Raw genomic sequence first — 23973 nt, forward strand, 5'->3', positions numbered from 1 at the left:
AGGCAAGGGACCCAGGACAGGGCTTTGCAGGAGCACCCAAGCTTCATGGGGCGATTTCATCAGTCACATAGGAATGCCAGCTGCGACGCCCACACACTGGAGACCCAGCAAACGAAGCAGGCCCGGACACTGGCATGGAATTCTGACACATCAGGGTACAACCACCAAATTGGAAAGGTCATAAAATATTAAAGCTGTTGATGGAGAGAAAATATTGAAGATTTCATCAGCAGTTTCTTGCCCTATTTCAATGATATTAACTTTTTAATTAAAATTGACGCTCAAGACTTTCCAACAGAGGGAAGTTTCACTTCTTAACCTAGAGGGAGCCGCATGGGACTCCTAACCTGGTGAGCTTTCTGGAGAGGCAGAGCGGGTGGCAGCAGGACTAAGGGGGCGAGGCAGAGATGGCGGGGACAGTGGGATGCTGCGGGGGCACCCCCGGCGAGGGTGGGGGTGGGGAGGGACAGGTGCTGTGGGGAGGGTCCTCCTTGCCCTCTGGTGACACGAACACTCTTCTGGGTGCCATCTATGCAGAGACAGGAGGAGACAGAGACACAGACACAGCAGGAGACAGAGAGACACAGAGACAGGAGGAGACAGAGACATAGAGAGACAGGAGACAGAGAGACACAGAGACAGGAGGAGACAGAGACACGCAGAGACTGGGAGACACAGTGAGCTCCAGGGACTGACAGACACACATACTGACACACGGGGAGATAGAGACAAAGAGACAGAGATAAAGACAGAGGTGCTCAGAGAGAAAGAGACAGAGAGGGAGGGGACAAGGGCCAGAGACAGGACGCACTTGGTCATGGAGGCACTCCCTGGCGGAGCCTGCCTGGTCCACACCGGTCCAGGGCCGCGCCGCAGAGGAAAGGAGGTGAGGCTGGGACACCCCGGGGGTCCCTGGAAGGAGGTTTAGGGTGGGAGACAGACCGGCCTCAACCGCAGGGAGGTCACTGTCCCGGGGTGGGAGTTAGGGCTGTATGCAGTAGACTGGAGGGCGATCGCGGGCTCCACCGGGAGGGAGCAGCTGTGCGCCTTGACGTAAAATCCCCACCCTGGCTCCAATGGCCCGCACCTGCCCTGGGGTGCGCCGGGGTGGGCTCCGCGGGGACATCACGAGGGTGAGCAACGGGGAGGAGCCTCGAGGAGCCCATCCCTTCGGCAGGTGGTGGGGGCCCGGATCTGGGTCTACGCCGCCCCACCTCCCTCCTGGCCACACCGCTGCGGAGAAGGTGCCGCACCTGCGCGACCGCTGCCTGGCCGGTCTAGAGCCCACCGCGGTGGAGCGTCAGCCCTCCTGAGTGGCGGTTCCTGTGGGCGGGACGCCTGGGTTGCCATGGAGACCGAGAGCCCAGCCCCGCGGAGCCCCGGGTGTGCACCGGGACAGGAAGCCGAAAGCAGAGCGGGAGACTCGACTTGCACTTTAATAGGCTCTCCCAGGAGCCGTTGTCCAGAGGGAGCGGGGTTCGCGGGGCTGGCGGGGACGTGGCGGGGCGGTGGAGGGGTGAGGGGGAGGGGAAGGACGGCGGCGGGGGCGGGGGAGGTGCACGGTGGGGCCGCGGGGACGGGGCGGGGGCGTCGCAGGGCGAGTGCGCGCCCCCACTGCCATCCAGGCCGTCGCGGCGCGGCTCGAACACTCACAGAGGAAGCACCTACTGTGCGCCAACCCTGCGCCCGGCAGCGTGCGGGAGACAGAGGGGAACCCAGTACTTCCCTGCCGTGGGGGCTCTCGGTGGGCTCGAGGTCATGTCCTGGTGAGGAATTACGGTCCCTTTTACTGATGAGGAAACGGAGGCGCAGACGGCACTGGGTCCAAGTTGCCCAGGCCTCCGAGGTGCGCGCAGCTCCTAGCCGGGCCTTCTGTTTGGAGACGCGGAGCGCGGGCTGCGAGCCCGGGTGAAATGGCCTTAACGCACGGTACAAGGCAGTTTGTCCTGGGGCTGGAGCGTCTGGGGGCCCTGCCGGCTGCACGTGGGAGAAGGGCTGGCCGCCTCCTGCCTCATTTCCTCCTCTCTAATGGAGAAGGAGGCCGCTGACTCGCAGAGTGGCGCTGCAGGGTTGGGGGAGCCCTACCCTAGGACATCTCCAAGCACCCTGCACTGCTGTCACCAACCCTGTCACCTGCCCTCCCATTCCTGTGTTTTGAAAACCTGAGCTCAGCGGGCTTGCCCCGTGGCCCCTCTGCGCAGGGGTGGGCAGAGAGACAGAGGGAGGATGGGTGGATGGGTGGATGGGTGAGAGGAGAACTGCAGGGAGGGCCTGCCCGGCACACTTGTCTGCAGTCTCTGGGGAGTGCCGTGCCACCCTGTCCAGCTCCAGTCCCAGCCCAGCGCCCTCCCCTCCTGAGCCACAGCCAGAGCCTGTCCTGGTGAGCTTGGGTGTTCCCAGGATACCCCACTATACCTACTGCGTGCCCGCCCTGTCCTGTAGACACAGAGATGGGCCATACACAGCCTGAGGCCTGGGGTAGCTGGCTCTTGGATGGTGGTGGGACCAGGGTGGTGAGAAGAGCAGGGGTCGGGGGAAGAGGGGCACCCTGAAGGATGCTGTGCGCATAGTAAAAATCGGATGCATGCTCATCACGAGGTTCCCACTGGAGGCATGAGATGATTGGAGGAGGGGACGCAGCGGAGGCATGAGATGATTGGAGGAGGGGACGCAGCGGAGGCATGAGATGATTGGATGAGAGGTCGTAGCGGAGGCATGAGATGATTGGAGGAGAGGACACAGCGGAGGCATGAGATGATTGGAGGAGGGGACGCAGCAGAGGCATGAGATGATTGGAGGAGGAGACGCTTCTTCCTAATTTGCACAGTGACCCTAAAGGCTGTGACAGCTGTCGAAGAGGCCATAGCCCAACCGAGGGCTATCAGAGAGGACTTCCTGGAAGAGGCAACACAAACGCTGAATCAAAGGGCAGGTAGGGCGTTGCTAGGCAGCAGATGGGGAAGACCATCTGAGTTCCTGTTTCTCCACTGCCCTGCTGCTTCCCCAGGGCTTGGGGGCCCTACTGAGGGGAGTAGGGAGGGCCTGTGCCCTCTCTGGGGAATGTGCTGGAACATTCCCCATAGTCTAGGCAGATGGGGCAGCAGAATCCAAAAGCCACCCCAGAGGAGGGTCACTCTCGGACAGTCAGGGCGCTTCCCTCAGAAGGCCCCTCCCCACCAAGCCATGCCCTGCCCTCTTGTGTGAAGAGGGGAGGCCACTCCCCTGTATGGCTGGAGTCTCTGTCCCTGCGCGCACTCCCCGCCCTTCCCCAGCCCTGGGCTTCTCTGTGTTCTGAGCCAGCCAGGCAGGGGCGGAGCCAACCACCTCCACCCCAGATCCTGCTACCTCGCAGCAGATGCATTTGGTTTAAATATTTCACTGGAGGCCAGGTCAGCGTCTTCATGTATGAAGACATGCCAGGGAAGGAGGAAGGGCAGACTCCATGGGACCCGTCATGGTGAGCCCCTGAGGTGCCTTCTGGAACCTGGCCAGGGCAGGATCAGCTCTGGGGATGGTCAGGGTGGGGCCGGGCAGTGGGGCAGGGGCAGGGAGGAGCTGATCAGGGAAAGGGGAGAGAGGGAGGGTTGGGCGGGAGACAGGATGGAAAAGCGGACGGAAATGCAGTCTGGGGAGATGAAACCCTGAGAAGCCAAGAAGAAGATGCGGGACCTAGCGTCTGGCTGGGCGGCCCAAGGATGGAAGGGGTGAATTGCAGGCCCAAACCCGCTGCCCAGATCTGATCCGGTTCCTCCTGAAGATGCTGCCCAAGGCACAGAAAGAACTTTTGTGGTGCCAGCCTCGGGCCACCAGCCTTGGGAGGCCAGCCTCAGGACACCAGCCTTCATGATGCCAGCCCCAGGACGCCAGCCTCAGGACCACAGCGTTCATAACGCCAGGCTCGGGACGCCAGCCTTGGGAAGCCAGCCACGGGATGCCAGCCTTTATGACACCAGCCTCCAGCCACCATCCTCCGACGCCTCGGCGCTCAGAGCTCTGTACCTGGGGTGGGGGAAGCACTCACCTCTCAGAGACTCCGTGTCTTTGCCTGTGAATGAGAACATCCCACCCGACCATTAGTGCTATCATTAGAATTACTTTTTAAAATAATGTTTATTTTTTAAGTTTTATATTTATAGAAAAATTGAGAAAATAGTACAGGTTTTCCATATATCTTCCACTGTTTCCCCATCACTAACATCTGGCAGCAGTGTGGTCATTTGTTACAATCAGTGAACCAGTATCGACACGTTGTTGTTACTAACCAGAGTCCCAAATCCCTATTGCCTCGGTTCTTACCCAATGCCCTGTCCCAGGATCCCACCCATGGCCCCGCATGACACTTGCTCGCATCTCCGTAGGCTCTGCCTGGCTGGGGCCGTTTCTCAGACGTTCCTGGTGTCCAATGACCTTGACAGTTTTGAGGAGGACTGCTCAGGGATTTTGTAGACTGTCCCTCAATAGGGACTGGTGTGATGTGTTTCCTGTGATTAGATTGGGGTTATGATGGGTTCTTGGTGGGGAAAACCAGAGAGGTGCCGTGCCATCCCCATCACCTTGTACCAAGGGCACACTTAGGACTGTGGACTGTGGACCTTGACCCTGGTCACCTGGCTGAGGGGTGTTGGTCAGGTTTCTCCACTGTGAAGTTTCTTTCTCCCCATTTCCACACTGTCCTCTGTGGCAGGAAGTCACTGTGCAGCCGAGGCTTAAGGCATGGGGAGCTATGCCACAGCTCTCAGAGGGCGGAGCATCTACCTATATTATGTGGCATCCTTCTGCATGGAGGTTTGTCCCCTCGCCCCCCACCCCCATTTATTTATTTATTTGGCCATTTGTTTCTGCCAGTGTGGGCTTGTGGACATCCGTCGTGCGCTTTTCCTGATAATCCAGTGGTGCTTCCTTCCGTTGCTCAGTAGCCCCAGCTTCAGCCCTTGGGAGCTCTCTGTGCTGGCTCCTGTCCCTTTGACAGGCCCCATCAGTGTGATTTGGGTGTTTCAGTTTCATTTGAGCACCTCCTTGCTCTTTGGGGTGAAACGGTGCCCCAGGCCCCTCTTGTATTTCCCTTTGCTCCAGTTCTAGAATCAGCCATTTCTCCAAGCAGCCGTGGTTCCTTTTTTTTTTTTTTTTAAATGGTTTTAGAACCCAAGATCTGGGCACACAAGAAGTCATTTTTAAGGTGATTCTGTAGCCTTAGCACAGGACTGGGCACTGCGGGAGTCATCACCCCTTTGCTGCCCTACTCCTTGCTTGCTAAGACCAAGCAGCTCCTCTTCTGCCAGCCTCTGCCATATCTGGCCACAGTAGAAGCAGCTGCTTGTCCCCCTGCCCTGCCCATGCTGGTCCCCAGGGTCTCTGCAAGGAGAGGCTTAGCATTTGCATAGAATGGAGGGTAGGAATAGAGTGGAGAGAGCCGTGAACCCAGAGTATGGTGAGAAAAGGCACCGCCCAGAATGGCCATGATGTGAAGACAGAGACCTCTATGTGTGGGCTCCGTTCTGATGGTCTTGCTATTGGAGTGGACTTCGCTTTGCAGTGTGCAGCCACAGTGAGTGGAAGCATGCCGGTGCCTCTGCTGCTGGAACCCGGCTGCCGGAGGATGGAAAGGACAGCTCTGCCACAGAGACACAACAGATCCCACTAGATAGGGTGGGAGACAAAGAGACTCAAGCCAGCTGCAACCCTGAACCAGCTTCTCTGCCCTATGCAGACCCTGGAAAGTCCTCTGAATTCCAGGGCAATAAAACAAAACAAACAAAAAACTCTTTACTCCTAAGTAAGAGCTCATGTGACCCCAGAGCTCTCAGAACCCTTCAGGGTGACCACAGCACATGAAACGCACTGCAGAACTCTTGGAACCCTGCGGGGTAACTCTTGGAATCCTGCGGGGTCACCACAGCACGTGACGTGCACTGCAGGGCTCTCAGAACCCTTTGGGATGACCACAGCCTGTGAAGTGCATTGCAGAGCTCTGAGAACCTTTCAGGGTGGCCACAGCACGTGACGGGCTCTGCAGAGCTCTGGGAACCCTGCGGGGTGACCACAGCACGTGACGGGCTCTGCAGAGCTCTGGGAACCCTGCGGGGTGACCACAGCACGTGACGGGCTCTGCAGAGCTCTGGGAACCCTGCGGGGTGACCACAGCACGTGACGGGCTCTGCAGAGCTCTGGGAACCCTGCGGGGTGACCACAGCACGTGACGGGCTCTGCAGAGCTCTGGGAACCCTGCGGGGTGACCACAGCATGTGAAGCGCACTGCAGAGCTCTCCAAACCCGTCAGGGTGACAAAAGCACGTGAAGTGCACTGCAGAGCTCCGGCCAGACAAGGGTGTGAGAGCAGGCATCCCAGGGCTGCACCTTAGAACTAACAGAGATGACCAGATCTACTCTCTACAGACTGTGTGACCTTGAGCATCTGTAAAATGGGGAACAGCAGTGCTTGCCTCACAGGTACCACCAGAGAGCTATTGACTCACTCTCTGGCTGTCTTCCTACCTTTACTCAATGTCCTTCTTCACCCACCTTTCTTTCTGCCTTCAGGTGCCTCATCCTCAAGCAGGGGTGAATGGTGTGATGGTTAATTTTATATGTCAACTTGATTGGGCCATGGGATGCCCAGATCGCTGGTGAAACATGATTTCTGGGTTGTCTGTGGAAGAGGTTAGCATAGTGACTGAGTGAGCACACTGCACTCCCCAGTGTGGGCGGGCACCGTTCCTGTCTGTTGAGGGCCTGCATAGAACAAAAGAGCAAGGCAGAGGAAGGTTGAGTTCGCTCTTACTCTGCCTGAATGTTTGAGCTGGGTGGAAGAACCTGCTCCCGATGCTGCTGGTTCACAGGCCTTTAAACTCAGATGGGATACTACACCATTGGCTCTCAGCTCTTATGCCTTTGAACTACACCACTGGCTTTCCTTGGTCCCCAGTTTGCAGAATGCAGATTGTGGGATTTGTCCTCCATAATTGCATGAGCCACTTCCTTATAATAAATCTTATTTTATATAGGCATATGTAATCTCCAAAGAACTCTGACTAATACAGATGACCAAGGATTGCTGCACAGTCAAGGAATGTCTGTACCATGAGGAACAGAGACCAGAACAGATAAACACAGGGAGCAAAAGAGAATCTCAGAGAGAGAATATGTTGCTTCCATAGAACAAGAACAGTGTGCTCTACAAAAGGAATGGGCAGAGAATACACATGAGCTGTTGCAAATGTATATCCATCCATATCTATTATATGTATTAATATCTATTCTATCTGAAGTTGAGGAGGACTTCAGAAGGAAAACAAATTTAACAGAAATAAAATGTGTGGGGCTATCTTAGAACATAGAACAAAAAAAATCCCCAAAGTAACAGAAAATAGAAAAGATAAACATGTTAAAAATGGAGACTCCACAGAGACCATACAGTGAGCAGGAGTGCCTGAAAGAGAAAAAGGAAGACCAAAGTGAAAACAATTTCTACCTGATTATTTCAAGAAAATTTCTCAGAACTAAAGAATATAACTTGCCAGATTGAAGGTCCTACCAAGGTCCCAGCACTGATATTGTGAAATTTCAAAACAGTAGGAACAAAGAAAAGAGCTGAGCACTTCAGGGACAAAGGAAAGGTTCACACTTGGAGCAGAGACTCCGAGGTCTTCAGACTCCTGGAGGGCAGCACTGGAGGCTGTGAGTCAGTGAGCAAGGCCTTGGATGGGCCAAGGTAAAAATGATTTTCAGCCCTGAATTTGATACCCAGCCAAACTATCAATCAGGTTTGAGGGATGAATCAAGATATTGTCAGAATAAGTGGAATTTACAAGTTCCATTCCATGCTTCTTTCCTTAAGAGACTTTTAGAGCAGGGGTGTCCAATTTTTTGGCTTCTCTGGGCCACACTGGAAAAGAATTATCTTGGGCCACACATAAAATACACTAACACTAACAATAGCTGGTGAGCTTAAAAAAAAAAAAAGAAAGAAAGAAAGAAAAAAGAAATTGCAAAAAAAACCCCTCATGTTTTAAGAAAGTTTACAAATTTGTGTTGGGCTGCATTCAAATCTGTCCTGGGCCACATGCAGTCCATGGGCCACAGTTGGACAAGCTTGCTCTAGAAGGTGTAAGTCAATGAGGGACGGACCTCAGTGAGGGGGCTCACAATTTGAGAGCTAGTGGCTCTCACCCAGGAACCAGTTCATGGGGAGTGTGGGGACATACACGGTGCCCAGGCCTGGAGAGCCCGTTGCAGCCTGAGTGTGGTGTGACATAGGGGACCGGGGAGCAGCTCAAAAGGAAAATGCATGGGACAGACGTTTGAGAGCTATGCTTGGGCATTGGAAAAAAGCACTGCTGGATGAGTGTCAAGTCTGTAAAGCATTTGGGGGCAGAAAAATGGGGATAGGGAGAGGACCACAAAACAGGTCAGACACTCTTCCCCTAAGGCTGCAGCTTGGGGAAATGCACAAAGTGAAGATTCCTGAGTAACCAGTGCCCACACTAGGGAACCAGCACTTCAGGAGCCCCCTCGGGCCCCGCCTATTCCCACAGGTGATGCCAGTTCTGACTCACAGCACAGATTACTTTTGTCTGTTCTTCTACTTTGTGTAAATGGAATCAGGTCTCAGAACTTTCAACATACTGAAGTATTGGCATGATACCAACAAAAATATGAATATTTTGGTACTTAAAAGCAGCCCTGTATCCTGGAAATATACATCTGGAATACAGGGATGCAGAAAACCCTTATTACACTCACGAATAGGTCCCCCATAGAGGAAGAAAATTAAACTATAAGGTCATGCTTAAGTCACAGGGAGAACAAGTTATCTAAGAATGGAAACAGAGTTCACACCCCGGCTCAGAAACATATGGCATCCACTGACCTGTGATGAAGGCTCCCAGGGAAAATGCCGGGCCAGCTGAGGGGGCAGGAGAAGCCGGGGGTGGGAGTACATAGAACACGATCCTGACACTTAAAACAGTGAGGAAGACTCTATTCAAGACTATCGCAGCAGCCGTCAGGATGACCACAACAGGGAGAGATTGAGCTCAACGCCGAAGACCACGAGGACAAGCGGGAGTCTCTAGCCAAGGAGGAGGGGGTTCATAGCCCCTGCCACAAGGACTAGTGGGGGCTGATAGCCAAGGGCCTCGGGGGATGGCAAAAGACTGAGATGAGAAGTTAAGGGCAGGAGATTCTTGCTGAAGGCGGCCGAGGAGTCAGAACTCACAGGTGGGGGATGAGGAACCGGATCATTCACGGAGGGGAGAGATAGCAGAGGTCAGAGGTTCTCCCTAAACCAGCAGAGATGAATCCAAAGCCCCGGGTGGAGGCCCGGTGGCAATGAGGTATCAGAGGAGCCAGGAAAGTCTGGCCAGGAGGAGTCTGCTAGGGCTCAGCACTGAAGCGCCACGGAAGGAGTCTATAGAGGCTGCAGCTGTGTTCCGGTTCGGAAGCCGAGGAGGAGCGCGTGAGAGCCACAGCCCCGGCGCGAGAACCACAGCCCCGGCGCGAGAGCCACAGCCCCGGCGTGGGAACCACAGTCCCGGCGCGAGAGCCGCAGCCCCAGCGTGGGAACCACAGCCCCGACGCGAGCAGCTCAGCAGGGCCCACTTGTTTCCTTATTAATTTTTACTTTCAGCCACATGCAATTAACAGTGTATTGTTAATTTGCCAACAATAACAACAGGCTCAAATCAGCCATGACCACCCGCCGGCGGGAGGGGCCTCCCTGCGTGGAGTTGGCCTCTACCCCAAGATCTGCATCCCACACTCAGGCCTGCTGCCCTCTGGCCTCTGCCCAGGCTGTGCCCTGGACCCAGACGCTGCTCCCTCAGCCCAGTCCTTTTGGGTGTCTCTGACCTTCCTTCAAGATGCACCCAAGCAAGGCGACCCCTGTGCAGGAAGGGCCCAGCCCTTTGACTGGGCAGGCTGCGCTCTGTTCACTAGGTACCCATGTTGGGTAGGGACCTGTGGCCACAATCCTGGTGTCTCCCACCCCTGTCCAGAACAGGTGCGGACTAAGCGTCTGCTGCGCTGCCAGGGCGCTGTCAGGATGGCGCCCAGAGGACGGGCTGCTGCCCTGGGGCTGCCTGAGGAGGGTCCGCAGAAGTTCCCTCTCGAGCGGGAGGAGGGGATTTGCATATTCACTTAGAAGGATGAAGCGCTGCGGGGAACCTTCCCACCCCCAAGGAGCTGTTCTGCCCAGATGCTGAGCTGGGAGCCGTCCCTCCCCCGGCCACACGCCTGCAGGTGACCCCCCTGCCCCGCCCCGCCACCAGGCCTGGGCACCCCAACCTCCACCCCTGCCAGAGGCGCCTGCACCGGGTTCCTCCTGCAGATCTGCAAACTCACGCCCGCCCAGCTCAGGCTCTGCAGCCCAGTTCTCATCGTTTCACGGGCTGAGGCCGGCTCCCGCGCAGGAAGGCGGGGTTTGCTGCCACCTGCTGTCCATTCGCCATAAGAGGTGGGACGCACGTTCACCTGAGAGCTTGGGGAGGAGAGAGGAAGGAAGGAGAAATTGAGGGAGGAGAGGGGAAGAAGGGAGGAAAGAGGGGAGGGGAGGCAAGAAGAGGTGAGAAGAGGACAGGAGGAGGAAAGAGATGGGTGACGGGGAGACGGGAAGGAAGAGGGAGGGCCTTCCTGGAAGAAAGAGCTGGATAGGCCTTGGACAGACCTGGGCTTAGATTCTGGCTGTGTGACCTTGGGTGGTTAATCAACGTCTCTGGGCCTTATTTCCTTTATCCACAAAGAGGCGATGACAAAGCCTCCGCCTCCATGAGAGCAGCCATGAAGTGTCATGATCCCTGCTGAGGAAACCGAGGCTCCCAGAGGCGGACGGTGGAGAGGTGGGGCCGCACCGCTGGCTGCCTGAGTCCTGGAGCCCCGGACACCCTTCAGTGCAGCGAGGGTCTGCCGCCATGCCCCAGGGTCTCCTTGGAGGCTAGAAGTTGTCTGTTTCTCACCCCTGGTGTTACATTGAACCAAAGATGGCACCACAGCCCACGGGCGTAACTTTTTATATTTTTAAGTTGGATACATGGAGCTACTTGGCGTTTGCTTCCATCACATCGTTGAGGAAAGAGGTGGTTGCTTATGGTACCCCTGTTTTTACTGCAACCTGCAATGGATGAGAACCTCCCTGTTGCAGAGAGCAAAACACTGAACTAAATTGTGCTGTAACACAGCCCTGTGTTGGGGGATTGGGAGTGATCATGCAAACGCTTGCAAATTTGCACAGTGACAGAGACAATCGTTTGGGCAGCTGTTCACTATATGAAAAGGCAATTGACCAAAAGTCAGTTACTGAGCTATCTCAATATGTTCATTTTATTTTAACTTTTGGCAGCAGGCTGCAATTAAAGGAGAGAAAGAAAACAAAGTGATAAGTGTAAGATAATGTACACACATGTGTAAAAGAAAATGACAAGACAGGATGACTATTTGTCTCTTGGTTAGCTCCTTGGGCTCTATGTCTCCTTCCTCAGAGAACCTCGTTTTCCTTTGTCCAAATTTGTTAGGGTGGATAATCCACGCGCCTGCTCCCCCATGATGGAAGCCAAAGACGTCCCTGGAGCCGCCTCCCGCTGCACCCTTTCCTGCACTGCCCACATGGACACAACTCAGCTGATTAGACTTCCTCTCAGAACTTTAGTCTTGAGCAAAGGAATTAAAGGGTGAAGTGACTGAAGGTATGCCCTTCCAAAGTGGTACGTGAGCTAATGGCTAAAGTTTGCCAAGCCCATCTAAGCACTTTTTTTCGTAATTTTTATGTATTTATTTTTTTGAGACAGAGTCTTGCTCTGTTGCCCAGGCTGGAGTGCAGTGGCATGATCTTGGTTCACTGCAACCTCTGTCTCCCGGCTTTAAAGGAGTCTCCTGCCTCGGCCTCCCCAGTAGCTGGGATTACAGGCATACGCCACCATGCCTGGCTAATTTTTTTTTTTTTTGTATTTTTAGTAGAGACAGGGTTTCACCATGTTGGTCAGGCTGGTCTCGAACTCCTGACCTTGTGATTCACCTGCCTCAGCCTCCCAAAGGGCTGGGATTACACGCGTGAGCCACCGCGCCCAGCTTCAAAAAGTTTTAAGCAGAGCTCAGAGGTCTTAACCACAGGCACATGGAAGGAGCATTTTTGAAACACTTTCCAGCTTCCTCAATAGGAATGGAAGCCAAACTCCGAATTGATGACTCCTTTGAGGAAGTTGAGAGCTGTAAGGCAAGCCAGGAACAGGGGCAAGGGAGAGATGTGTCCCGAATGATCCTGTGCCGATTGTTTCTGGAATCCTCGATGTGATCTCAGCTGCTCTTTCTATACATGACACAGTGATTGCGGCACCCACTGGTCTAGCTGTGGTCTACAAGGAACCCCCAAAGGGAAGGGCACAGTGAGAAGGGGCATCGGCCTGAGTGACAAGGATTTGAGAGGGCAGGTTGGATGCAGGGAGACGACTGGCCCAATGCCATGTGTCTGGACTTAGACTGCCTGGTTCAAATTGGACTTCACCCTTTTTGACTTCATGATCTGGTACAAGCTACATGAAACTCCGTTGCGCCTTTTCTAGTCTGTAAAATCATCATGAAATGTGCACTAATAACGTGGAGACTATGCAGATGAAATGAAACCAGCTGTATAGAGCACAGAGCTCAGAGCCTGGCCTTTAGGAAGCCCTCAGTAAGGGTTCACGATGCCATGGTGTCTGTCGTCATCCTCTTTATCCTCATCATCACCTTCATAATCCCTTTGTTGTTCTTAGGGAATAGTTTAGAGGGACTGATTCCCTGCTATCATGGGTGAGGAGGTGTCTATCAAAAGGACAACCAGTGGGGGAGGAAAGCAAAATTTTGAATAAGATTTCTGAGACCCCCAGCACAACCAAGAACAGAAACTCCACAGTCTGCTGAGCACAGAGGTTGCATATTGGTCTCCTCACATCTGCCCACTGCACTCTCCTGTTTGTCCTGAGGATGAGGAAACAAACAAGGCTCCCGACCGTCCCTCAGCACTCACTTGAAGGGGTGGCCTTCCCCTCCACCCCTGTGTGTATTTCTAGTCGGGTGGATGAGAGACTGAGAAAAGAAATAAGACACAGAGACAAAGTATGGAGAAACAACAGTGGGCTTAGGGGACCGGCACTCAGCATACCAAGGATCTGCACCGGCACCGGCCTTGAGTTCCCTCAGTTTTTATTGATTATTATTTTTATTATTTCAGCAAAAAAGAATGTAGTAGGAGGGCAGGGTGATAATAAGGAGAAGGTCAGCAACGAACATGTGAGCAATAGAATCTATGTCATAATGAAGTTCAAGGGAAGGTACTATGACTGGACGTGTACGTAAGCCAGATTGATGTTTCTCTCCACCCAAACATCTCAGTGGAGTAAAGAATAACAAGGCAGCATTGCTGCAAACATGTCTCACCTCCCACCATAGGGCGGTTTTTCCCCCATCTCAGAATTGAACAAATGTACAATCGGGTTTTATACCGAGACATTCAGTTCCCAGGGGCAGGCAGGAGACAGTGGCCTTCCTCTCTCTCAACTGCAAGAGGCTTTCCTCTTTGACTAATCCACCTCAGCACAGAACATTTACGGGGGTCGGGCTGGGGGATGGTCAGGTCTTTCTCATCCCATGAGACCATATTTCAGACTATCACATGGGGAGAAACCTTGGACAATACGCCGCTTTCAAGGGCAGGGCTCCCTGTGGCTTTCCACAGTGTATTGTGCCCCTGGTTTATTGACACTAGAGAATGGCGATGACTTTTACCAAGTATACTGCTTGGAAACATCTTGTTAACAAGGCACATCCTGCACAGCCCTAGATCCCTTAAACCTTGATTTCATACAACACATGTTTTTGTGAGCTTCAGGTTGGGTCAAAGTGGCTGGGGTAAAGCTACACATTAACAACATCTCAGCAAAGCAATTGTTGAAAGTACAGGTCTTTCTCAAAATGGAGTCTCTTCTGTCTTTCCTTTCTACATAGACACAGTAACAGTCTGATCTCTCTTTTGCTTACACTCACTGAACTGCCCTTCCCCTCTGCTGGGCCATGACCACGGAGAACAGGTCCACTGTCCTCCCTGTGTGGTGCACCATGGATGCTCAGACTCCGCCCTCGAGGCCGGCAAGAAGACAGGGTGAGACATGAGGCTCCTGATATAGGTGACGGGAGTGGAGCCCACAGGACTGGAACCTCACACTGCAGGGCTGGAGGCACAGACTATTTACTATTCTGTGGCCTGGGGGGCTCAAGGCACAGAGCTCCTTATTAGCCAAAGTCACCCAAGTTCCCCAACCTCTAAGGATTTCCTCATAATAATGCAAGAAGAAGAAGAGAAAAGTGAGTGTCCATAGAAGCTTTGGGGCTCTTCCTCTAATCAGGAGAAAGCTGGTGTGTATTCTTCGCTTCTTTCTTTTCTTTGTAAACATCCAACTGCTTTAATTTTCATCTTTTATTATGGGAAAATATACCACGTATAAATATTAAAAATTATAAATATATTAGTTCATATAGAATGGCCACTATAAACATTTACAGTTTCCACTCTTTTTCAGTTTACAGTTTCATGACATTAAGTACGTTCACATTGTTTAGCAACCATCACCGCCATCGTCTCTGGAACAGTTTTATCTTTCAAAATGGAAATTGCACCCTTTCACCAAGCTCTCCACTCCTCTCTCTCGCCCACCCCTGGGGGCCACCTTTCTAGTTTGCAACTCTATGAGTTTAACTACTCTAGACACTTGATAGATAAGTGGAATCATACCATGTTTAATTTTTTTGTTTTGGAGACAGAGTCTTTCTCTGTCACCCAGGCTGGAGTGCAGTGGCATGATCTAGGCTCACTGCAACCTCTGCATCGTGGGTTCAAGCGATTCTTGTGTCTCAGTCTCCCGAGTAGCTAGGATTACAGGAGTGCGTCACCACGCCCAGATAATTTTTGTATTTTTAATAGAGACCATATTGGCCAGGCTGGTCTCGAACTCCAGACCTGAAGTGATCCACCTGGCTCAGCCTCCCAAAGTGCTGGGGTTACAGGGGTGAGCCACTGAGCCTGGGCGTGTTTATCCTTTTGTATTTATTTATTTCACTGACGATGTTTTCAAGGTTCATCCATGTTGCGGCCTGCATCAGAAGTGCCTCTCTGTTTTTTTTGTTTGTTTGTTTGTTCGTTTGACTTTGTTTTGTTTTGTATTTCCATGGAGTCTCACTCTGTCGCACAGGCTGGAGTGCAGTGGCACAAACTGGGCTCACTGCAACCTCCACCTCCCGGGTTCCAGCCATTCTTGTGCCTCAGCCTCCTGAGTAGTAGGGGCTATAGGCACAAGCCACCACGCTCGTGTCATTTTTTGCATTTTCAGTAGAGAGAGGGTTTCACCAAGATGGCCAGGCTGGTCTTAAATTCCTGACCTCAGGTGATCCGCCCACCTCGGTCTTCCAAGACGCTGCGATTACAGGCGTCAGTCACCGCACTGGCCAGTAGTGCCTGCCTTTTGAAGGCTGAATAGTCTTCCATTGTATGAAGGAACTGCAGTGTGCTTTTTCATTCATCTGTCCACGAACCCTTGGGTTGCTTCCACATTTCAGCTGTTGTGAATAATGCTGCTATGAATATGGGTGTACACAAATCTGTCTTCCACTCCTAGCTTCTAATGCTTTTTGGTAGGAACCCACAAATGCAACTGCGGGAACATCTGATCATTCTGTTTCTAATTTTTCCAGTACACGCCATACTATTTTCCCCGTTCCTTCATGGTTTTACATTCCCTCCGATCATATTCGAGCATTGCTACTTCCCTCTGGTCTCACCAATGCCTGTTTGTTTATAATATGCATCCTAATATGTGGTATCACATTCTTGGTTTGATTTGTGCTTCCCTATGATGACTGATTTTGAATATCATTTTAGATGCTTATTGGCCATTGCTATATCTTCTTCAGGAAGACGTCTACTCAAGTCTTCTGACCATTGTTGATGGGATGCTTTGGGTGTCTTGGTGTTTAGTTCTAGCTGTTCTTTATATATGATGGATATCAGCCTCTTTTCAGATATATGCTCTGCAAATATTTTTCCTAATCCATGGGTTATCTTTTCACTCAGTTCACAGTGTTTTTTTGCTGCACAAAAGTGTCTGTCATTTAGATGTAATCCAAGGAATCTAATTTTCTTTTGTTGCCTATGCTTTTGGTGTCATATCCCAGAGAACATTGCCCAATCTGATGTCACGAAAGTGTGGCCAATGTTTTCTTTTAGGCGTATGATACTTTTAGCGCTTGGGGTGAGGTCTTTGATCCAGTTTGTGTGAATTTTTGCACCTGGTGTGACATAGGGTCCACCTTCATTCTTCTGCATGTGGAAATCAAGTTTCTCCAACACCATTTCTTGAAAAGGCTGCTTTTCCACCAATGAGCTTTCTTAGCACTCATGTGAAAAATCATTGGAACATATAGGTGAGAAGTTATTTCTGGGCTCAAAAACAAACAAACAACAACAGACAACAGATAAGGATACAGCATGGGCCGGGCGCAGTCACTCACACCTGTAATCCCAGCACTTTGGGAGGCCGAGGTGGGCGCATCACCTGAGGTCAGGAGTTGAAGACCAGCCTGACCGACAGGGAGAAACCCCCGTCTCTACTAGAAATACAACATTAGCTGGGTGTGCTGGCGCATGCCTGTAATCCCAGCTACTCAGGAGGTGGAGGCAGGACAATCGCTTGAACCCAGGAGGCAGAGGTTGCGGTGAGCCAAGATTTCACCATGACACTCCAGCCTGGGCAACAAGAGTGAAACTCCATCTCAAAACAAAAAACAAAAAACAAAAAACCAGCATGATTTCAAGAGCAGAAAGAGAAGAGCTTAAAAACCAGCATAATGAGAAAGTTAGGAAGCTTCTTACCAAAGCATCTGGAAATATGCAAGCAATTCTTGTGAACTAAAATTTTCATACTGTAGTATCAAACACTAGAACTCACTTATTCCATCTTTCTCTATTTTGGGACCCAATTATCCACTTGTCTTCATTCCCTATCCCACCCCTTGTCTTCCTAGCGTCTGCTAACCACCTTTATACTTTCCACCTTCCTGAGATTCCTTTTGTGTGTAGGTGTGTGATGGAGTCTCTTTCTGTTGCCCAGGTTGGAGTACGCAGGCACAATCCGGGCTCACTGCAAGCTCTGCCTCCCGAGTTCAAGCCCTTCTTGGGCCTCAGCCCTCCAAGTAGCTGAAACTACAGGCACGCGTCACCACGCCCGGCTCATTGTTTGTGTTTTCCGTAGAGACGGGGTTTCACCATGTTGGCCAGGCGGGTCTCGAACTCCTGGACTCAAGTGATCCGTGCGACTCGGCCTCCCGGAGTGCTGGGATTACAGGTCTGAGCCACCACACCTGGCCAAGGTTTCCTTTTTTCTTCCTACATAGAAGTGAGGACATGAAATATTTGTCATTCTGTGCCTGGCTTATTTCATTTAATATACAGACCTGCAATCTCATCCATTTTGTCTGCAGCAGAGAGGAGTTTCTTCCTTTTTAGGCTGAACAATACTTCACTGGGTGTGTATACCCCAGTTTCTTCATTGAAACAAATTTCTGAAGAGCAAATATTTTTAAAATGTCTCGGAATGTGAAACTTCAGGGATACTGTGCCCATTTTGTTCTTTTCTATTTCCCATCTTATGTATATGCAAGTGTATAACAAAGCAGCAATCAATGTGTGTATAAATCTATAACTTCAACAAATGTAAAATGTAAATGCTTAGTGGTGGCTGGGCGCGGTCGCTCATGCCTGTAATCCCAGCACTTTGGGAGGCGAAAGCGGGCGGATCACCTGAGGTCGGGAGTTCAAGACCAGCCTGACCAAAATGGAGAAACACCGTCTCTATTAACAATACAAAAAAAAAAAAAAAAATTAGCCAGGCATGGTAGCGCATGCCTGTAATCCCAGCTACTTGGAAGGCTGAGACAGCAGAATTGCTTGAATACGGGAAGCAGAGGTTGCAGTGAGCCGAGACCGTGCCATTGAACTCCAGCCTGGGCAACAAGAGTGAAACTCTTGACTCAAAAAAAAGGAAAAGAAAGAAATAGAAAATGCGAAATGGTAAGAAAAAACAGCATAAGAAACATTTGTATGGTGTTGATGGACAATGCATTTGAAGATAATATTTGAAGAAATCATATTACAATTAATTTCTGTTCTTACTCATTGGAGCTTGATGCCTCTAAAAACTTCATCATTGGAACCACCTGTGGTGCTTTAAAAGAAAAAAAAAAAATCCATATACTCACACAGGTGCAAGGAAATCAGAATCTCAGGTATTGAGACCCAGGCCTCATCATTTGTAAGCTCCCCAGGTGATTGGACTCAAAGCCAAGATTGAGGAATGGCGACATGGATCTCTACACATAACCTGCCTAAATAGATTCTCTAGAAGCAGTTTATAAAGAAATTCCACATGAACTGTGGAAGAGGATATGAATTTGATGTACAGTATGTCCTCACTTAACATCTTTGAAAGTCTCTTGGAAACTTCACCTTGAAGCAAAATTATGTATAGTGAAACCACTTATTTTTCATCAACAGTGTAACTACACAACTTTGAACAACCAATGGTGTTGGAGGACCTCCTGTACATTGTTTCCATAAAGTCAGTTTTCAGGGAATTCCAAAATGAAGTGAGGACTTCGTGTATATAAAAAGATGGTTGTGATTCCAGCTGGATAACAGGGTTATTGCTCAGAAACTAAAAGAGGTTGCCTAGGTATAGAGGATTCTGTCATGAGGTTTCTGCTAAACAAAGGATCCCAGAATCCTCACCCATTCCAGTGAAAGGCATAACGAAGAAAGCAATATTCACAAAGGAAATGCGGAAAGGAATAAAAGCCATCAAGCCACAAAAATAATGTGACTAAGGGGCAGGATTTGCAGATGGAGAGATTTAATGCGGTTGCCCTTTCTCACCCACACAAGAAAAAGAATGGAACAGATCATGAGATTTGACTGTTCTGGGGCGCAGCCTCCGCAGGGCACTTTGTATGTCCCTGTTTCTCAGGCTGTAGATAAAAAGGTTCAGCATGGGGGTGACCACAGCGTACATCACTGATGCCACCACACCATTCCTGGGGGGTGGTGACACAGCTGAAGTCAGGTACATGCCAATGCCTGTTCCATAAAATCAGCAAACAACTGCCAGGTGAGAGCCACAGGTGGCGAAGGCTTTATACTTCCCATCTGACGATGAAATCCTGAGAATGTAGGGGATGATTTTATAGTAAGACCAAAGGATCCCTGAAATGGGAAGAAAACCAAACATAGTACTATCGAAATATATGAATATGCTATTGATGACGCTGTCAGAACAGGCAAGTTTGAGAAGTTGAGAGGGGTCACAGACAAAATTAGAGACTTCCACATTCTTGATGATGGTGAATTGTAACACAATCCAGCTATGCAGCTGGGAATCCAACAGGCTAAGGAAAAAGGACACCAAAACGAAGAAGACACAGAGGTGAGGATTCACGATGACTGGGTAGTGCAGAGGGTGACAGATGGCTACAAAGCAGTCATAGGCCATCACAGTCAGGAACATGTCTTCTATACATGCAAAAAGGACCAAGAAAGACATCTGCGTCAGGCAGCCCGCATGAGAGATGACTCTGCTATGCGACTGCATTCCACAATCATCTTGGGAACCGTGGCCGAGGTGAAACCGATGTCAGCCCAGCACAGGTTGGAGAGGAAGAAGTACATGGGGGTGTGGAGGGGGGAGTCAGAGCGGACAGCCAGGATGCTGAGCAGGTTCCTCAGCACCGTGACCAGGTACATGGACAGGGACAGGGACAGCAAAGCGAGGACCGGCTGCAGTTCTGGATCCTCTGAGAGTCCCAGGAGGAGGAATTCTCAGACACCTGTGAGATTCTGTGGCTCTGTGTGTCTTGAACACCTTGAGAAGGAAAGAGTATTGGAAAAATAAAAGATAAAAACCAGCCCTTAATGCTGGATGCAAGCAATTCACAAGGAACATCTTCACACTTGCGGACCATACACCGCCAGCAATGTTTCTCAGTTGTGACAATTCCAAAAATCTCAGAATTATTACGTGATTTACTTTTTTGCTATACAAGGCTTTCTGTACATACTACTTTAGAGAAAATCCACTGAAGAATATTAGAAGACCAAAACGTCATATATAACAAATCCGTGATCTCAGTAAAATATGGCCTACTCTTTTCAGAAAAAATACAATGCAATGACAATGTCTTTCTCTCTTTAAGAAAAAGACCTCAGTCTAATTGAAAGGAATTAAGAAGCCGTGAAATACACTCTACTTTATTCTGACACCGTGCTACAACTTCCATTGATGTAGAATATGTAAAAGGACAACACAAGAGCTAGGACCCCATTATCTGAAAACGACATCGAACCTTATAGTTCTCAATCGGAAGACCTTTTCACATGCCTGTTACTTTTCGTATTTATTATCATCCTTCGGTTTTCTGACATCATTTCTTCATAAAAGTACATGCACGCTCAAAGATGGGAGCTGGGTTTCCAAATGAATTGAATCTATAACTCTTGGCCCAGCACCATGGCTCACACCTGTAATCCCAGCATTTTGGGCGGCCGAGGTTGATGGATCACCTGAGGTTAGGAGTTCCAGACCAGCCTGGCCAATGTGGTGAAACTCCGTCTCCAGTGAAAATAAAAAAACATTAGCCGGGTGTGGTGCGGGCAACCCTAGCTACTCGGGAGGCTGAAGCAGGAGAATCCCTTAGAACGTGGAAGGCAGAGATTGGACACCCTGTGATAGGATTTTTGATATCCTAGGGAGATATTGCTCCTGACAGCAGAGTGGGCGTACACCCTGTGATATTATTTGTAATATCCTAGGAAGATATTGCTCCTAATATCACGGTGGCTGTACACCCTGTGATCTTAATTGTAATATCCTACAGAGATATTACTCCTAATAATACAGTGGGTGTACACCCTGTGATATTATTCATAATATATTACAGAGATACGACTCCTGATATCACAGTGAGTGTACACCATGTTGGTACACCCTGTGATCTTATTTGTAACAACTTAGAAAAATATTACAGCTAATATCAAAGTGGGTGTACACCCTGCGATGTTATTTGTTATCTACTAGGTAGATATTACTCCTAATATCACAGTAAGTATACACCATGTGTGTACAGACTGTGAAATTATTCGTAATACCCTAGGAAGATATTACTCCTCATATCACAGTGGGGGTACACCGTGAGTGATATTTTTTTCTAATATCCAGCGGGGGAGAGGATGATATTGCTTCCAATATCACAGAAGGTGTACACCCCCCTGAGATTTTGTTCCTAATATCCAGGGAAGGAGAGGATGACATTATTCGCAATATCACTGGGGGTGTACCACCTCCCGCCGGGATATTGTTCTTAATATCCGGATGTAGAGAGAATGATGTTACTCCCAATGTCACAGGGGGTGTACACCACCCCTGTTTGTAAACATTCCCTGTGATATTGTTCCAAATGGCCTGTGAAAGAGTAAACATGACTCCCATTATCGCGGGGGGTGTTCAGCCCTGATGATATTGTTTTCTAACATCCAGGGAAGGAGAGTATGCTATTACTCCCAATATCGCAGGGGTTGTACACCCTTTTGTGTTTTTGTGCCCAATATCCAGGAAAATAGAGGATGATGTTACTCCCAATGTCGAAGTAATTGTACAGCACCCCTGTGATATTCTCCTAATATCCAGAAAGGAAAAGAATGATATTACTCCCAACAGTGTAGCAAACGTATACCCGCGCTGTGGTATCTTTCCCAGTATCCAGGTGGGGAGAGGATCATATTACTTCCAATGTCACAAGGTGTGTACACCCCCTCTGTGATCTCGTTGCTAACATCCAGGTTTGGGGAGGACGACATTACTCCCAATATCGCAGGTGGAGTACACCCCCCCATGACCTTGTTAGTCATTTCCTGGGTGGAGAGGATGATCTTACTCCCAAAATCGCAGGCGGTGAACACACCCCTGTGAAAATCTTCCTATTTTCAGAGGGAGAGAGGATGGTATTACTCCCAGTATCGCAGGGGGTTTCCACAGCCCTGTGATACTCTTCCTAATAACCACAGGGAGAGAGGATGATATGACTCCCAATATCGCAGGGGGTGTACACAACCCTGTGATATTGTTCCTAATATCCAGAGCGAAAGAGGATGATATGACTCTTAATATCGCAGAGGGTGTACACCCCTCCTGTAATATTGTTCTGTATACCCTGGGAGGGAGAGGATAAGGTTACGTTGAATATCACAGGGAATGTACACCCTCCCCCTCTGATACACTTTCTCATGTCCAGGGGAAGAGAGGAAAATTTCACTCCCAATATCACAGAGGCAGTACACCCCACCTGTGATGTTGTTCCCAATATGCAAGGGGGGAGAGGATGATACTACTCTCAATATCGCAGGGCTGTTCACATCCCCAGGGACATTTTTTCCCAGTATCTAGGGGAGAGACAATTATATGACAGCAAAGGTCGCAGGGTCTGTACATCCCTTCCTGATATTGTTCCTAATATCCAGGGGGAAAGAGGATGTTATGAAACATGAAAGGGGGTGTACATCCCCCACCCCTACGATATTGTTCTTAATAATCGTGAGGGGAGAGGATAATATTACTCCAAATATCGCAGGGATTGTTCACCCTTTTGTGTTTTTGTGCCCAATATCCAGGAAAATAGAGGATGATGTTATTCCCAATGTCGAAGTAATTGTACAGCACCCCTGTGATATTCTCCCTAATATCCAGAAAGGAAAAGAATGATATTACTCTCAAAAGCGTAGGAAATGTATACCCGCGCTGTGGTATCTTTCCCAGTATCCAGGTGGGGAGAGGATCATATTACTTCCCATGTCGCAGGGTGTGTACACCCCCTCTGTGATCTCGTTGCTAACATCCAGGTTTGGGGACGAAGACCCAGACCTCCACCCACCCAGAGTAGGTGCGCCCAAGAACTAGTACATGCTTGTTACCTCCACACTTTGGCATCTCTGTGAAGTCCACCTGGAGACCTTCAAAGGGGGCTGCTCCATAAGCTCGTATGCCGGGCGGAATGGCTGGACCTTGCCTCGCATCATGCTGTCGGCAGGTAACACACCGCTGCCTCACCGTTTTGGCAAGGGCTGACAAAGGCGAGATGTACAAATACCAGCCTAACAACTTTTCCAGTGACTCCTGACCTCGATGGGTGGTTTCTTGCACAGCCAGTACAACTGCAGCTCCTAGCAGCTGTGGCGCAGCTACTGTCCCATCTGGTAACCGAATCCATCCTTCCTCCATCACTTGTCCTTCCCTCTACCTGGAGAAAGTCCTTCTCTTCTTTAGAAGAAGTAGGTCCGAGATCAGGTGCTTGAGGGAGCACTGATGCCCAGAAGGGGGCAGATGCTGCTTTTCGAGCCTCTGAGCCAGCGCGGGAATTCCCCAAACCCAGCAAGGTGGAAGCTCGCTGGTGTCCCCTGCAATGCATAACTGCCACCTTGTGGGGTTTCCACACTGCTTCTAATCATTGCAAGATTTCTTGTTGATATTTTCTGTCTTTTTCCCCAGAGTTCAATAGGCCCTTTTCTTTCTATCACACTCCATGCACTTGAAGGGTTCAAAAGACATACCGAGAATCAGTGTAAATGTTGACAGTCTCACCCTCACTGAGTTCTAAGGCCCGAATGAAAGCAATGAGGTCAGCTTTCTGGGCTGAAGTGGCCTGGGGCAATGATCTGGCTTCAACAACAGTGTCCAGGGTTGTCACTGCATACCCTGCACCTCTCTCTCCTTGGGGGTTGAAGAAGCTGCTCCCATCCACGTATAGTTCCCAGTCTATGATGCCCAAGGCTGGCGCCGGAGGTCAGGTCTGCTAGAGTCAATGGAGTCCAACAATTCTACACCGTCAGGCTCGACACGGCTCTCTGATACTCGGAGC

At 50.2% G+C, this 23973-nt stretch overlaps 1 pseudogene, besides 4 other annotated features; it reads right to left on the reverse strand.

The window, feature by feature from the left end:
• Positions 2427–3391: an enhancer, noted in NCBI's record as "H3K4me1 hESC enhancer chr4:3874509-3875473 (GRCh37/hg19 assembly coordinates)". NCBI's record gives its function as "activates a minimal SCP1, AML or CMV promoter by ChIP-STARR-seq in primed H9 embryonic stem cells {active_cell/tissue: H9 hESC(primed)}" and the evidence as "EXISTENCE:reporter gene assay evidence [ECO:0000049][PMID:30033119]".
• Positions 9147–9704: an enhancer, noted in NCBI's record as "H3K4me1 hESC enhancer chr4:3881229-3881786 (GRCh37/hg19 assembly coordinates)". NCBI's record gives its function as "activates a minimal SCP1, AML or CMV promoter by ChIP-STARR-seq in naive H9 embryonic stem cells {active_cell/tissue: H9 hESC(naive)}" and the evidence as "EXISTENCE:reporter gene assay evidence [ECO:0000049][PMID:30033119]".
• Positions 9705–10260: an enhancer, noted in NCBI's record as "H3K4me1 hESC enhancer chr4:3881787-3882342 (GRCh37/hg19 assembly coordinates)". NCBI's record gives its function as "activates a minimal SCP1, AML or CMV promoter by ChIP-STARR-seq in naive H9 embryonic stem cells {active_cell/tissue: H9 hESC(naive)}" and the evidence as "EXISTENCE:reporter gene assay evidence [ECO:0000049][PMID:30033119]".
• Positions 10459–10518: a silencer, noted in NCBI's record as "silent region_15209". NCBI's record gives its function as "represses an Ori minimal core promoter by ATAC-STARR-seq in GM12878 lymphoblastoid cells {active_cell/tissue: GM12878}" and the evidence as "EXISTENCE:reporter gene assay evidence [ECO:0000049][PMID:35858748]".
• OR7E163P (olfactory receptor family 7 subfamily E member 163 pseudogene) lies at positions 12140–19810 on the reverse strand (annotated as a pseudogene).
• Positions 19811–23973: the final 4163 nt, after the last annotated feature.

The sequence above is a fragment of the Homo sapiens genome, chromosome 4 (genome assembly GCF_000001405.40).
Source record: "Homo sapiens chromosome 4, GRCh38.p14 Primary Assembly".
NCBI lineage: Eukaryota > Metazoa > Chordata > Mammalia > Primates > Hominidae > Homo > Homo sapiens.